Source organism: Homo sapiens, chromosome 10, assembly GCF_000001405.40.
Source record: "Homo sapiens chromosome 10, GRCh38.p14 Primary Assembly".
NCBI lineage: Eukaryota > Metazoa > Chordata > Mammalia > Primates > Hominidae > Homo > Homo sapiens.
Window position 1 is genome coordinate 92742292 of NC_000010.11, and position 16253 is coordinate 92758544.

At 45.4% G+C, this 16253-nt stretch overlaps 7 annotated features.

Moving 5' to 3' along the window:
- Positions 177-516: an enhancer, noted in NCBI's record as "active region_3778". NCBI's record gives its function as "activates an Ori minimal core promoter by ATAC-STARR-seq in GM12878 lymphoblastoid cells {active_cell/tissue: GM12878}" and the evidence as "EXISTENCE:reporter gene assay evidence [ECO:0000049][PMID:35858748]".
- Positions 11948-15941: an enhancer, noted in NCBI's record as "VISTA enhancer hs1866". NCBI's record gives its function as "enhancer in: blood vessels[5/5]" and the evidence as "EXISTENCE:transgenic organism evidence [ECO:0001131][PMID:17130149]".
- Positions 13912-14593: a transcriptional cis regulatory region, noted in NCBI's record as "candidate enhancer chr10.3364 targeted for multiplex CRISPR interference". NCBI's record gives its function as "positively regulates HHEX gene expression with high confidence in K562 cells {active_cell/tissue: K562}" and the evidence as "EXISTENCE:mutant phenotype evidence [ECO:0000015][PMID:30612741]".
- Positions 14047-14191: an enhancer, noted in NCBI's record as "145 bp enhancer 133 fragment used in the MPRA reporter construct; PK_construct_4067". NCBI's record gives its function as "activates an SV40 promoter by MPRA in K562 cells {active_cell/tissue: K562}" and the evidence as "EXISTENCE:reporter gene assay evidence [ECO:0000049][PMID:23512712]".
- Positions 14110-14127: a transcriptional cis regulatory region, noted in NCBI's record as "GATA motif; MPRA enhancer 133 activity is reduced when this motif is scrambled". NCBI's record gives its function as "necessary for full MPRA enhancer 133 activity {active_cell/tissue: K562}" and the evidence as "EXISTENCE:site-directed mutagenesis evidence [ECO:0005528][PMID:23512712]".
- Positions 14733-14932: an enhancer, noted in NCBI's record as "active region_3779". NCBI's record gives its function as "activates an Ori minimal core promoter by ATAC-STARR-seq in GM12878 lymphoblastoid cells {active_cell/tissue: GM12878}" and the evidence as "EXISTENCE:reporter gene assay evidence [ECO:0000049][PMID:35858748]".
- Positions 14756-15248: a transcriptional cis regulatory region, noted in NCBI's record as "candidate enhancer chr10.3365 targeted for multiplex CRISPR interference". NCBI's record gives its function as "positively regulates HHEX gene expression with high confidence in K562 cells {active_cell/tissue: K562}" and the evidence as "EXISTENCE:mutant phenotype evidence [ECO:0000015][PMID:30612741]".

Consider the following 16253-nt stretch of genomic DNA (forward strand, 5'->3'; position numbering starts at 1 on the left):
TTCTCTGAGGAGCTGAGATCTGTTCTGAGACTAGAAGGATGAACAGGAGTTTATTAGGCAAAGGTGGTGGCCAGAGTGAGAAGCAGCAGCATGCATGAAGGCCCCAGGGCTGTAGAGAGCACAGTGCTTTTGAGGAACTGAAAGTAGTGCCCTGTGACTGAAATATTGAGAGTAAAAAAGAAAGTAGCACAAAATTAGGCTGGAGACATAAACAGGGGCCAGATGATGCTGGGCCCTGTGGTCAGTTTATATTAAGGATTTGGGTCTTTATCCTAGATCAATGGGAAGTCACAGAAGATTCTAAACCTGTAGCGTGACTTGGCCAGATTTGAGTTTAACAAAACAAGTGACATTCAAATCATATGAACTAGGACTGGAGATGTGAGGCTGCAGGTGACGTGGGGAGCCTATTTTGATACCAGCAGAGGATGTGGGCAAGGTGAGAGATGAGGACAGCTTGGATTAAGGGGTGTAGTGGAGGTGGAGAAAAGTTATGGGATTTGAATACCATTTAAAATGTAAAACTTACAGGGCCTGGTGATGGAGTAGACATAGATGTTGCTGGGTGGAGGAGTTCCAAGAGGACTCCTCGATTCTGGCTTGCAAAACTGGATGTCCAGTAGGGGATGGGGGTGGCATTTACCAAGAAAGGAAACCTGGAGGAGGCCTGAGTTGGGTGGGGGGCATCACGGTGAGTTCCCACTGAACACACCGAGCACGAGGAGCCTGGAGACACCCACGGGGCTATGGGAGTAGGTGGTGTGAGTAGGATCTGGTGCTTAGCCGAGAGGTCTGGGCTGGAAGCATCAGCATTTAGATGGAGTGGATGAAGTCATAAATCATGAGATCATTTAAGGAGAGAAGAGAGTGAACAGAGAAGCGGGCTTAGGACCAAGCTGATACCAAGATGAATAACCTTGTTTTCACCCTCAAGAAGCTTATGGCTGTGTAGAGGTGATGAGCTATGCACATATGTAATTACAGTATAGTCAGAAAAGGACTTACACTCTACCAATACCATAAACGATGCATTCGGAGGAGGAAAACATTATACCAGCTGAAGGGATTAGCAACAACTTCATGGAGACACATTTAAGACCATCTTTTTTTTTGGTGGGGGTGGGGCAGGGTCTCACTCTATCGCCCAGGCTGCAGTACAGTGGCATGATCATGGCTCACTGCAATCTTGAGCTCCTAGGCTCAAGAAATCTTCCTGCCTCAGCCTCCCAGGTAGCTAGGACTACAGGTGCGTGCCACCAAACCGGGAAAATTGTAGAGATAGGGTCTTGAACTCCTGACTCAGGTGATCCTCTTGCCTTGGCCTCCCAAAGTGCTGGGGTTACAGGCATGAGCAACTGCACCCAGCCTTAAGACGATCTTTGCTGTATAGCTAGAATAAAGTGAGGTGGATGAGGGTAGCGATGGGCTTCCAAGTGGAAAGAGTGACTTGATGAAGGGTATGAGGCTGAAAAACCAAGACCCATGGCAAACTTCAGGGAGTTTAGCTTATCTGGAGATAGGGTATACGTGGGGAATCATTTAAAAGGTGAGTTGGAGCCAGGTTGAGGAGGGCTGTAAATACCTGGCTGAGGTGCTTGACCTATAGGAGTGGGGACCTAACTAAGGTTTGTAGGAGAAGTAGGGGGAGGGTGCCTTGACTAAAGCAGTGATTGAAGAAGACTCCTGGATTCCCATGTGGGGTGCACTGAAGAGGACAGATACTGGAGGTGAGAGACCCATTACGAGGCTGGAGTGGAGCACCTCAGAGATTGTTCTACTGTAATGACTGAACCCAGCTGGTTAGCTCAAGTAAAAAGGGGATTGATTGAAAAAAATATATATATGTTTAGGAAACCTCATAGAATACAACCCTGGAAGTCCTGTCAGCCCACAGGAAATGGACAGTGGTTTGTCTCTGTTTCCCTGGAGACACACACATGGTCTCTTGTATTTGCCTCTCTCAGCTCTCCTGTACTCTTTGCAGACCAGCTTTCTCTGTAAGGGCCTGGGCTGCTGCTTTCCCTTCACCTGGTTTCAGGAGGTTTGGGTTGCCATGGCACCCATTCTGACCCAGATCCACTGGATCTTATATCAGACCCCACCACCATTTACTGCAGTCTCTCTGCTGATCATAGCATAAAGACAGGCTGTACCTTTTGGTGACACCAAACTGATATTCTAGTCACAATCAATGCAATAATCTAACAAATCTCCTGATCACATTTCCTGTTGGTGGGAAAGTCTAGCACTTGCACAGATTTGCTGGGCACAACTTGACTCACATTGTTTCCACATTTGTTTAATAACAGGTTATTATCTGCTGCAAGAATGAGGACAGGAACTGTGTTTGTCTTGTCTCCCGCTGTGTCTATTGCTGTATAACAAATTACCCCAAAACTTGGTGGCTTAAAACAGTAGGCATTTATGATCTCACAGTTTCTGTGAGTTAGGGATTTGGAAGTAGCTTGTCTGGATGGCTGTGGTTTGGGGTCTCTTATGAAGTTGCAATCAAGATGTTGGTTGGGCTGTAGTCATCTGAAAGCTTGAATGCAGCTGGAGGATCCACTTCCAAGATGGCACACTCACATGGCTGTTGGCAGGAGGCTTCAGTTCCTTATGACATGGACCTTTCCATAGGGCTGCTTGAGTGTCCTCACGATATGGTAGTTGGTTTCCCCCAGAACAATTGATCCAAGAGAGAGCAAGGAGGACGACACACACCGCCTTTTATAACCTAGTCTCAGAGGTCATACATCATCACTATTGCCACATTCTATTTGTTAGAAGTAAGTCATTATGTCTGTCCCATACTCAAGGGAAAGAGGAATTAGGCTCCATCGTTGAAGGGAAACTTGTAAAATAATTTGTAGATGTATTTTTTATTTTTTTGAGACAAGGCTTCACTGTTTTGCCCAGGCTGGAGTGCAGTGGGGCAAACACAGCTCAGTGAGCCTCAACCTCCTAGGCTCAAGGATTCCTCCCACCTCAGCTTCCCAAGTAGCTGGAACTACAGGTGTGTGCCACCATGCCTAGCTACTTTTTTATTTTTTGTAGAGACAGGGTCTTACTGTGTTGCCCAGGCTGGTCTAGAATTCCTGGGCTCAAGTGATCCTCCTGCCTCTGCCTCCCAAAGTGTTGGGATTACAGATGTGAGCCACCGTGCCTGGCTGCAGATGTATTTTAAAACCACCACAGCCACCGTAACTTTAGCACCTATTATGGTGCCTGACATATAGCAGGGGCTTAATAATGGTTTGCAAAAGGAACAGTTGTTCTCTCTCCTAAACTTGATTCACTGGCACTGAAACATGGCAGTCACTATAAGGCAGGCAGTCACACCAAGGAATGGCCATTTCAGGCTTCATTCAGCTTGAGTGTCTTCCCATGTGTTGTTCTATCAGGAAATAGTGGGGCCATTTTGGGAAGTCGCTAGGCCAAGAACACAAATATAGGCTGCTGAGATCCCTTTAGATGTTGGCATACAACTAGCCGAAGAGAGAGGAGGTCTCAGAGGTTTGTAAGAGTTGAGTTCTGCTAGCGAATTAGAATTTTTATTAAATATTTATAATAGGGGCTTCTAACAAAATTATTGATACTATTATTTTGAGGAACAAATCTTTTATATTTAATATATCTCTGAAGACTTGGGATCATTTGTGTCTATCAGATCAAATGGGGCAAGGTGCGGTGGCTCACGCCTGTAATCCCAGCACTTTGGGAGGCTGAGGCAGGCGGATCACTTGAGATCAGGAGTTTGAGACCAGCCTGGCCAACATGGTGAAACGCCATCTCTACTAAAAATACAAAATTGGCCAGGAGTGGTGGCATGCGCCTGTAATCCCAGCTACTCGGGAGGCTGAGACAAGAGAATTGCTTGAACCCGGGAGTTGGAGGTTGCAGTGAGCCGACATCATGCCATTGCACTCCAGCCTGGGCAACAGAGCAAGATTTAGTCTCAAAAAAAAAAAAAAAAAAAAAAATCAAATAGATTCAGGTCAGAGCAGGCGCTGTGGAATATAACCATGGTGGAGCGGGAGCAGAATGGGGTTCTTTAATACAGTTCTTTACATCCCAAGTATTCCAAGAGAAAAGAAGGTGGGTGTTAGGTGCTGTGGCCATGGACTTGACATTCAGTGGGGAGGAGTGTAATGAGCTCCAGCACCATTTTGTTGTTGTTGTTAGAGATGAGGTCCTGCTATGTTGCCCAGGCTAGAATGCAGTGGCTATTCACAGGCGTGATCATAGCACACCACAGCCTCAAACTCCTAGCCTCAAGTGATCCTCCTGCCTCAGCCTCTCAAGTAGCTGGGATTACAGGTGTGTGCCACTGTACCTGGCTACAGCACCTTTGGAATCCACCATAGTTTTCAAGCTGGAGCTGTGCTCTTCCTGGTCAGCCCCTAGCCAATGACAGAGCATGGTGAGTGCAGGCCTAGCTATTTCTGTCTAATGTGGGACTTCTCAAATGAGCAATCTTTGCTCCAAGTCTCCCTGTGGAGTTGACTGAGATTCTGTCACATCTGTCTTGTGATCCTAGGCTCTCCCTTCCCAGTTCTGCTGTCTCCTCCTTTATCTTCCACGGGTGTCTCCCTCTCCCCAGTGAGCCTCTTGCTCTCCTGGCTTTATCTTAGCATTCCGGAGGACATGAATGACACAGGAGGAATGAGGCCATGTGGTCATAGTATCCATCGGAAGACCTAGTGGGCAAGTCTTTAAGATCTTCTAGCCCAGGCTTTGAGAACTAGAACCTTGTCTGCTGGATGGGGATCTTGGCTTTAGAAACTTATTTTGGAAGGAATTTCCAAATTGCTTACATGATACTGTAGGCCAAGGTGGAAGTTTGGGTGTCATTGTAGATGAGGGTACTGGTGTCAAGGCTCGCCAGGAACGGAGAGGAACAGCGCAATGGGCTCACCAAACAAGCTCCTCAGAGCAGTCAGAACTGTGTTTCCCCAGTGCTGGGACACAGGGAGGCGGTTTCACTGTGCGCTAACGCCATTTGCAGGAGGTGACAGAGCTCGCCCAAGGAAGGGGCAGGAGATTGCGGTGGTTAAGTGCTTTGGAGGCAAATAGGCCTGGGTATGAGCCTGGCTGTGCTACCTACTAGCTTTGTGATGTTGGACATATTACCTAAGCTCTTCATCTCTCAGCTTCCTCATTGGGAAGATGGAGATGATAATATAAGTCTACTTCTTAGATTTGCTGGGAGGATTTTTAAAACTCCTTCTAAAATGCTCAGCATTGTACGTGATTGAATCAGGTAAAGTTCTCAGCTGTAAGCAACAGAAACTGACTCAAGTTGATTGAAATAGAAAAAAGAATGGATCAAAAAGCCAGTGGGCAGCTTCCAGAATCCCCAAAGAGGCTAGAAAGGCAGCTCAGAGAATAGATAGAAATAAGGGCAGTAGCCAGGGCCATAGTCAAAATCCTGCCATAAATCCAGCCTGCTGCTGCCACCATTGATCGCTGGATGCCTCTGCTGTTTGCCCTCATAGAACCCAGACCCTGCCCTTGGCCTTGTTGCCACTGTTGCCTGGAAACGGGTGTGGCTGTCACCACTACCACTGTCAGCCCAGCCACCAGAATGGCTTCTCTGTGGTTCTCAGCCTCTTCTCTGCTTCCCCTCTCCTTCCCTTTCCACCTCTACTTTCCCCTTCCCCCTCTTCTCCCTCTGCCTCCTCACCTTCCCCCCCATCTATTTCTTTCTCTATGCTTCTTCACACTTTCTCCCTCCACTGGCTAGTTATCCTCATCCATTAGCTATACCAAATTTTTCCCATTAAAGGAAGAAATAGGCCAGGCATGGTGGCTCACGCCTGTAATTCCAGCACTTTGGGAGGCTGAGGCAGGTGGATCACCTGAGGTCAGGAGTTCAAGACCAGCCTGACCAACATGGAGAAACCCCATCTCTACTAAAAATACAAAATTAGCTGGGTGTGGTGACACATGCCTGTAATCCCAGCGACTGGGGAGGCTGAGGCAGGAGAATTGCTTGAACCTGGGAGGCGGAGGTTGCAGTGAGCTGAGATAGTGCCATTGCACACCAGCCTGGGCAACAAGAGTGAAACTCCATCTTAAAAACAAAAAACAAAACAAACAAACAAAAAACAACAAAAAAGGAAAAACTACATGACCCAATGATCTTTCTTCAACTTCCTTCCTATCTTCTTTCCTTCCTTAAATGTCTGGAAAGTTTATTTTTCTTCCTCACTTCAATCTGTCCTCCACCTCTTTAATTCACTGTAACTGCCCTTCCCAAGGTCACCAGTGACCTCTCCATTGCTTTACCAAGGCTGACTTTTCTGTCCTCCTCAACCTCTTGGGAACACTTGATCTTGTTGACTATGACCTCCCTTTGAGACTCTTTCCTGTTCTCGGCTTGATGATGCCATGCTTTTCTGGCTTTCCTCCTTTCTTGGACCTGATTATCTTGATATTCTTTGTGGGCTTTTCCTTATAACAAAGTACTACAAACTGTGTGTCTTCAGCAACAAAAATGTATTGTTTCATAGTCCTGGAGCTTGCAATTTGGAGATTAATATGTTGGCAGGACTAGTTCCTTGGCTTGTAAAGCATCACCCTGATTTGTGCCTTCATCTTCTCATGGTGTTCTCCCTGTTACATGCCTCTATGTTCAAATTTTTCCTTTTTGTAAGGACACCGGTCATATCATATTAGCTCCCCTCCTCTACCATAACTTCATTCTGTTGCTTATAACAGAATACTTGAAACTGGGTAATGTATTTACTTATTTATTTATTTTGAGAAGGAGTCTCACTCTGTTGCCCAGGCTTGAGTACAGTGACACAATCTCGGCTCACTGCAACCTCTGCCTCCCAGGTTCAAGCAATTCTCCTGTCTCAGCCTCCTGAGTAGCTGAGATTACAGGCACACACCACCACACCCGGGTAATTTTTGTATTTTTAGTAGAGATGGGGTTTTGCCATGTTGGTCAGGCTGGTGTCGAACTCCTGACCTCAGGTGATCCACCCGCCTCAGTCTCCCAAAGTGCTGGGATTGTAGGTGTGAGCCACTATGCCTGGCCGAAACTGGGTAATTTATAAAGAAAAGGAATTTATTTCCTACAGTTCTAGATGCTGAGAAATGCAGGGTCAAGGGGCCACATCTGATGAGTCCTTCTTGCTGGTGGGGACTCTGCAGAGTCCTGAGGCAGCGCAGGGTATCACATGGTGAGGGCGTGGAGTGTCCCTTCAGGAGGGCAGAGCCCTCATGACCCAATCCCAATCGTCTTTTAAAGCCCTCGTCTTTCAATACTGCCACCATGGGGATTAAGTTTCACTGTGCGTTTTGGACGGGACCAACATTTAAAGCATAGCACTCATCTTAGCTAATTACAACTACATTGACTCTATGTCCAAGTAAGCTCCCATTCTGAGGCGCTGGGGGTTAGCACTTCAACACATAACATTTAGGGGAACACAATTCAATCTATAGCACTCTTTAAACATCGCTTTCCCTTGGCCACTTTCTTAGCCTCCTCCCCCGAGAAACTTTATTCAAACTCATGGCTTTAATGACCATACCACCTTACAATGATGATACCCCAGGGTGTTTCTCAAACCCAGTTCTCTCCCTCTGAGTTCTGGAGAGACAGATCCAATTACCCAGCAGTCATATTTGGGTATTTATGGGTCCCTTTATTTATTTATTTTTGAGTCAGGATCTCACTCTGTTGCCCAGGTTGGAGTGCAGTGGTAAGATAATGGTTCACAGCAGCCTCAAATTCCTGAGCTCAAGCCATCCTCCTGCCTCAGCCTCCTAAGTAGCTAGGACTACAGGCATGTGCCACCATGCCCAGCTGATTTTCTTATTTTTGTAGAGACGGGGGTCTCTCTATGTGGTCCAGGCTAGTCTTGATCTCCTGGGCTCAAGCAATCATCCTACCTCAGCCTTCCAAAGTGCTGGGATTATAGGAATGAGGCACTGTGCCTGGCCAAGTCCTTTGTGTAATGTTCCAGATTGAATTTATCTTTTCCTTAAAGATGTTTCTTCTCCTGAGTTTCTGGTCTCAGAGACTGGCCCCATCACCCACCTTGCTCCCCCAGGGTGGGAGATCACCCTGGAGGCTTGCTTCAGTTTATGACTCCCACCCCTTCCAGTCACCACATCCTTCAATAGCATCACGTCTCTTTTTCTCTTTTTTTTTTTTTGAGATGGAGTCTCGCTCTGTTGTCCAGGCTGGAGTGCAATGTCGCGATCTAGGCTCACTGCAACCTCTGTGATTCTCCCACATCAGCCTCCAAGTAGCTGGGATTACAGGCACCCACTACCATGCCTGGGTAATTTTTGTATTTTTGTAGAGATGGGGTTTCACCATGTTGGCCAGGCTGGTCTTGAACTTCTGACCTCAGGTGATCCGCCTGCCTCAGCCTCCCAAAGTGCTGGGATGAGAGGTGTCAGCCACTATGCCCAGCCTATTTTTATTTTTCGAATTGAACATTCCTTCATACTTGTTTTATATGGTCAGAATACTACATTGGTAGCAATGATTCATTTTGTTAGTCATGAAACAAACAACAACAACAACAAAAATTCATACATTTTACTTTGTTTCTCAGAAATGAGAGATGTTTTAAGAATGTGTTTTCATGAGATTTGCCAAATTTTTTTTCATTGCACAATAGCTTTTTTTTTTCTCTCTTCCTTTTGGAGAATTGTTGGGTGGATGAAGATTTTAAGATAGGTAAGAACAGATGTGTTGACACAGTTTGGGAAAGCAAAAACAATTTAACTGGAAGAAAAGCCCTTAGGGAAATGACACTCTCCCAAGGATGTTCGAAACCCAGTTATAGGAAGTACTAAGTCTTCAGTGGACAATGTGATTTGGGTTAAGAGCCAGCAGAGCTTGGGGAAACGCTGACAGTCCTCCAAATACCACAATGCAGTGTTAGAATCAGACTCGCTATGTTGAAATTTACGAGGATTTACATTTTAATTAGTTGCTCAAAATTTGCCCTCACAATTGGTCCTTTAGGCGAACGTTAATCCCATTTACTTCTTTCTAATTTTAATGCTCCAAACCCCACCAATTTTGAGAAGGAAGAAGTGTTCTTCCAAGTTATGTAAGTGATTTATTATACGATGTGAGAATTATACGATGGAGGCACCACGTAGGAGAAATGGAATTGAGGAATACCAGCTGAAAAAGCTCTTATTCACCCTCTAGTTCAGTTCAGCCTCACAAATTAGAAAACAAACCCAGAGAGGCAGAGAGACTTACTTAAGGTCACATGGTTATTCAGAGGTCTAGAATACACACTTTCTGGTGCCTGAACCAAAAGTCCGCTTTAGGAAAAATTATAGTCAACATTTACTGAGCACTTGCTAAGTACTAGGCACTGGGCTAAATGCCTTTCATAAATTTCAACAGTTCACAAAATCAATGAAATAGAAAGTATTTCAAATGTAAAATAAAAACATTGTCAGTCCTCTCTAACAATTTTTCTCTGGATGTTTCATTTGCTTTCTTAAACAGAAGTTGCTGACGTACATGTCTTTCCTCCCTTCCAGATTCAAAGGCTGCAAAGGGCTCCTAGGTATACTCCACTGAGCTGTATTTTGAAAGCTAAATAAGCATTAACTTATTCACAACAAAAGCCTGATATATTTGTATGAAGGCTGCAGAGAGGTTTGGAAAGCACAGATTTCTCCCCCTTTCTCCTCCCTTAGTTTGTTCACCGATCACTTCTTCCCTCTCTTCCTTCTTTTTCCCTTCCCTCCCTCTCTCCCTAGCTTCCCCCACTTTCTTTCCTCTCTCTGTCTCCCTCCCTTTCTTTCTTCCATTCTAGAAAGTGAGGTATTTTCCAGTACCTGTAATCTGTACACTTTGGGAGGCCGAGGTAGGAGGATTGCTTGAGGCCAGGAGTTTGAGATCAGTCTGGGCAACATAGCAAGACCCTACAGCAAATTTTTTATATAAAAAATTTAAAAATTAGCCAGGCTTGGTGGCACATGCCAATAGTCCCAGCTACTTGGGGGGCTGAGGCAGGAGGATCACCCGGAAGTTCGAGGCTGTGGAGAACTATGATTGCCCATGGCACTCCAGCCCGGATGACAGAGCGAGACCCCATCTCTATAAAAAATAAAAAGTGAAAAATAAAGATAATCCCAGCACTTTGGGAGGCCAGGAGCGGGCAGATCACCTGAGGTCAGGAGTTCGAGACCAGCCTGGCCAATATGATGAAACCCCGCCTGTACTAATAGTAAAAAAAATTAGCTGGGTGTGGTGGCACACACCTGTAATCCCAGCTGCTCAGGAGGCTGAGGCGGCAGGAGAATCACTTGAACCTGGGAGGTGGAGGTTGCAGTGAGCCCAGATCGTGCCACTGCACTCCAGCCTGGATGACAGAGTGAGACTCCATCTCAAAAGAAAAAAAAAAATGGAAGTGAGGTATTAAGGACTCTGTCTGTTGTGATTCGAAACTCCTTTTGATTTGTCTTTTTTTTTTTTTTTGAGACGGAGTCTTGCTGTGTTGCCCAGGCTGGAGTACAGTGGTGCGATCTCTGCTCACTGCAAGCTCTGCCTCCCGGGTTCACGCCATTCTCCTGCCTCAGCCTCCCGAGTAGCTGGGACTACAGGCGCCTGCCACCACGCCCGGCTAATTTTTTTTTGCATTTTTTAGTAGAGACGGGGTTTCACCATGTTAGCCAGGATGGTCTCGATCTCCTGACCTTGTGATCCGCCCGCCTCGGCCTCCCAAAGTGCTGGGATTACAGGCATGAGCCACCGCGCCTGGCCTGATTTGTCTTGAACATGTAGAATGTTGGAAATGCCGGGGCCTAAGGCATCATCCAAAGGGGAGTGGAGGCTAGAGAGGTAAAGGATTTTGCCTGAGGTCAACTAAATGAAATCCTACCAAGATCAGACAGCGACTATAAAGCAGGAGTCCAGTCAACCCCAAGAGGAAAGCTACCAGAATAGCACAGGCAAAGTCTGATTTGTTCTGGAGGTGTCAACATTTTTAAATGACTCAATTCAATCTCAGACCAGCAAGCTCTTCACCTTCACTTGAAGGAGTGTAGGATCTTTTATCAGGAGCTTAAGAATGAAAAGCAAACTTCTAATCATACCCAGCACTTCAAAATCCCCAGAGTTGAGGGCCGGGTAATGAGTGGGGCTTACATAGAGTAGGTTCTCAGAGATACAAGGGTTAGGACTTGGAAATACACATGACAGGCGGGGACAGAAATTTTATTAACCTGTACCTTAAAGCCCTTTAGGACATTTGATTGTGGAATGAAACCAACACATTGAGAAGACTCAAAGTGGGGAGAACCTGAAATTAGTTTTGCACTTTCCAATCCCAGGTTTCCAGGCCCTCTGTCCTCAGTGATTGGCTGGTGCAATTCTGAACACTGAGCTGTTGATTTTCCCATCCCAATAACTTCAGCAAAGGAATCTCTGAAGTCCAGTGTGGAAGCTCAATACACAGACCAGGCAGGAGGACTGCTTGAGGCCAGAAGTTTGAGACCAGCCTGGTCAACATAATGAGACCCCCATCGCCAGACAAATAATAATAATAATAATAATTATTATTATTATTATAAAGAATCAGAGAGAGAGAGTAAGCCTTGGAGGTAAGTAGCATGCCACAGATCACTTAGCAATCTAGAAACAGATTCTGAATTCTAGGTCCCACTCAGAGAAGGAGAAAGGGAAAGAAAGTGTGGCAGCCCTGACTTCTGTTCTTCAGAGGCAGCTTTATATGGTGGAGATTGCCTGGAGCCAGGAGATAAGGCCATGTGCTTTCTGGGCCTCAATTACTTCCCTTGTAAAATGAGAAAGAATTGGTCCACATGACTGCTAACTTCCTATCTCTATGTAAGAACCATGTGACTCTAGAATCATATTTAAATGGTAAAATGACAAGTGATCCAAGTGATTAATTTTTTTTATTGTCCTGATTTTTTTCCCCATCCTGGTGTGTGGTTTGGCTGAACTGACTGAATTTAAGGGAATATCTTTGATGTCCCAAATTACCTGGAGGAATTTCATCTCACAATTTTTCTCAAAGGCCTTTAGGACTGCTGCATTCTTTTTGAGATCCTTGCCTAGAAAACAATCTAGGAGCAGAACACGATGAGAGGTCAACAGCATTTTTTTTTTTTTATTAAGATGGAGTCTCGCTCTGTTGCCCAAGCTGGAGTGCAGTGGCACGATCTCAGCTCACTGCAGCCTCCGCCTCCCGGGTTCAAGGAATTCTCCTGCCTCAGCCTCCCGAGTAGCTGGGGCCTGCCACCACGCCTGGCCAATTTTTATATTTTTAGTAGAGGCAGGGTTTCTCTATGTTGGCCAGGCTGATCTCGAACTACTGACCTCAAATGATTCACCCATCTCGGCCTCCCAAAGTACTGGGATTACAGGTGTAAGCCACCACACCCAGCCATTTTTTTTTTTTTTTTGAGACAGAGTCTTGCTTTTGTTGCCCAGGCTGGAGTGCAGTGGTGGGATCTCAGCTCACTGCAACCTCTGCCTCCCAGGTTCAAGCGATTCTCCTGCCTCAGCCTCCTGAGTAGCTGGGATTACAGGCGTGTCCCACCATACTTGGCTAATTTTTGTATTTTTAGTAGAGACAGGGTTTCACCATGTTGGCCAGGCTGGTCTCGAACTCCTGATCTCAAATGATCCACCCACCTCGGCCTCCCACAGTGCTGGAATTACAGGCGTGAGCCACCACACCCATCCTGTCAAGCAGTATTAGTGCAATGTTTCCCCACCACACTCAGTCTAAAGCCACACTTCACGCCTACCAGGCCCTGCACTTTCTGGATCCGCCTTCCTTTCCAGCCTCCTATCCTATCCTCTCTCTTCATGTAATTTATTTTGGACACACAGGCTTTCCTTTAGTTCCTCAAAGGCACAAAACTCTTTCCTAACTCAGGACTTGCGAATAGACTGTTTTCTCTACTGGAGCTGTCTTCCTTCATTCATTGGTCGTTTGGATGATTCAGGCCTGAATACCACATCATCAGTTGGGCCTCCACTGGTATTAATATTTGGGCCTCCACTGACCACCTCATCTAAACGGAAATTGGACCACCCTATTCTTTCTCTTCAGAGCACTTAACATTATTTGCGTGTTTAATATCTGCTTCTCTAACTAGACTGGGAAGTCCATGAGGTCAGGGGCTATCTCTTTTTTGTTTACCACTGCATTTCCTAGCACGTAGTAAGCACTCAATATTTACTGGCCAGGTGCGGTGGCTCACGCCTGTAATCCCAGCACTTTGGGAGGCCCAGGCAGGCAGATCACTTGAGGTCAAGAGTTCGAGATCAGCCTGGCCAACGTGGTGAAACCCTGTCTCTACTAAAAATACAAAAATTAGCCAGGCATGGTGGCAGACGCCTGTAATCTCAGCTACTTGGGAGGCAGATGGAGGAGCATAGCTTGAACCCAGGAGGCGGAGGCTGCAGTGAGCTGAGACTGCACCACTGTACTCCAGTCTGGGTGATAAAGTGAGACTCATTTCAAAAACAAAAAAAAAAATTTACTAAATGAATGAATGAATGCATTCGCAGAAAATTCCCAGCACAATCTGCTCTTATTGGTTGTTTCTATATGACACAACCTACATAAACACTTAGTGAAATTGCCACGTTGACCCTGTTTTGGTATTGTAGAAACAGCTATTGGCCCTTGGATAAGTTGGCAAGGATTCCAATGTGTGTTTATTCAAACTGAATGGGCCTCTTTAGGGGCTCAGTGAGAACCCCAGGAGCCAGTTAATGCAACCTCAGTTCTCTCAATCTGACTTCTTGTAAAATTTCAGAGACATTCTCTTGGCTAAGAAGATAACTGAGATTTCAAGTTAGAACTGTAGTATCCTTAACAGAGAAAAGCAAGTGAATCTCAAGTGACCGATTTTGCCTGAGTAAAATCGGAATTAAATCATATGTGGAATTACGACAGAGTCATTGGATGACAATCAGCTTTGTTTCGTTTTTCTGGGACCACATGAAAAAGAGGTTATTTATTAAGAATGGAATAGTTCCTTTAAAATTCTGTAGCAATCATGTCTCTCTCTCTTTTTTTTTCCTTCCAGTCCATGGAAAGTGTTATCTCAGGCAGCTTTGTGCAGGAAGTTGGGTTTATCACTTCCTCACAGTTGCAGTTTGTCTAGGACTTAGCTACATGCTATCAGATTACATCAAAATGTAGGCCTTTGTGTGTTTAACTCATCAAAGGAGTGGGCCCTCAGGACTTGATATCACTTCACTGCAAACGCAGCCATGTAGCAAAACAAAGCCTATCTAAACAGGACACAACTATTTCTGTTGTGCGGCAGCTCCGCTAGCTCGCGCTTTCAGAAATGGTTGGGTTTTGGGTTTCAGGTGTCTGCACTGTTTCACTTCTTGTTTTTATATTTGTATCTTTTTAGAATTGCAGTCATTTGCCTGGTTATGTGCAAGGAAGGAAAACCCAAAATATTACCTATGAGGGAGGAGGCAAGATTGCCCCAATCCACAGTGTCAGTTGGAGGTAGCACTAACCCTTACCTCATCTTCTTGATTTTCACTTGAGAACTCAGTTGCTGCGGTCTCAGTAGTCTGGGCTTCAGGGCTGGCCATGTGGGGGTTTCAAACCTTGACTTCCCTGTGTCCTGGGGCAATTATTTCACCTCTGCGTTTCAGTGTTCCCATCTGAAAAATGAAGTTAATAATAGCACCTGCCTCATAGCTTCATGGTATGGAATAAATGACACAGATTAAAGAATATATGAAGAGCGCTTATAAAAAGTGCTCCCCATTGGAGGGATATCAGGATTTTAAAGTCTGAGGGGATACCACGCCCCAGGCCCTGCAGAGCAGCAAGACTAGCTGGCAGGGCAGCCAGTCCCAGGCTGGGCAAAGTTTCTCAGGCTGTACTTCCACCTTTGGGGCCTCGTTACTATTTTCTTCTCCGTGGAGTTCCCTCTTCTCTGTGGTGGGCTTTCTGCCAGATGCTGCCTCTATTGGCGGCCACAGGAAGCCAATGCAACTGTGAAGTAATACTTCTGCCTCAGGCCTGGCTCCGCCCTGTTGACCAAGGGTTTTTAGATCTGCTCAGCCAACTCTTTTTAATGCCTTGCCTAAAAAGGACTTCTCACCCAGCCCTGCTGCACTAGGATATGGCTGGCTGCCCCAGAGGCTTTGGACAGACAGTTTTCTGGAGAGAGAAAGGGTGGAGCGGACTTCTCCCTCTCAGCTCAATTCTTCAGGAGTTTGGGGTATCATTTTGTGGCAAGTCTCTCATATGATGCTCATTTACCAAAAGCAGGTGTTAAAGGAAGAGGGAGAGAGCTTGATTCTGTACAATCTCTTTGAGCCAGTGGAATAGAATGAGGCACTCTTAAAAAAATGATTTGCATCAGGAAGTATGCGAACTTTCACAGGCCTATGACCGGAAAGAAATTTAAGTTACACCTAAAAAATTGTATGCTTTAAGAAGGTAAATGGTTTTTCTTTTTCTTTTTTAAAATCTGAAACAATTTTGCATAGAAAATTGCAATCAGCCTAAGGGTTTGTTGCTGTTTTTTTTTTGCCTCACTTGGCCAGAGAGACTTTATTGCTTCTTTATACGTCAGTTATTCACTGATAGCTTGCTATCTTCATAGCTTCCTCCGATCCAGACCGTGAGGTGGCAGGTGTCCTGTGAGCCACACTCTGCCTCAGCTGTTTAGAGAATCACTTTGGAGACACCAGTCACCTCCATTCAGTGCTGCTGGCTTAGGGTTGGTGCCACAGGTTCCCATCCATTGGATTTTGCCTCTCTGTCCCTGGCATGGGCTCTTAGGCTGTCTTTTCAGCTTTTGCCCTTAGTATAATAGCACATGATAGTGTGGAATAGCCACAGCCACTCAGATCTGTTTCTTAGACTCCTCTTAATGGCCACAGGGTCAGTTTCACCTCACCCTCAAATCCTAAGCAGGACGCAGATTCCCTGTGTGTCTCTGGTATCCTGGGCTTCCCCTTGACTAGGAATAGAATTGGGACATTTGCCTACAGCCCTCTTAGGATAACTGTGACTGCTAAGTGAAGACCAGCACTTTCTGTTAGATTGATGAGATTAAACTTCTTTTTTTCCAATTATAATAGCAATAAATGTGTTTTCTTTACACATACACATACACACACCCCTATGCACAGAAACGTATAAAGTTTAAATTTTCAGACCTTCATATTAAGGCTACTAATGATAATTTGTTTGTTGTATGCTGTTCTAAGATTTATTTCAGTACAATAAAAGCATCAT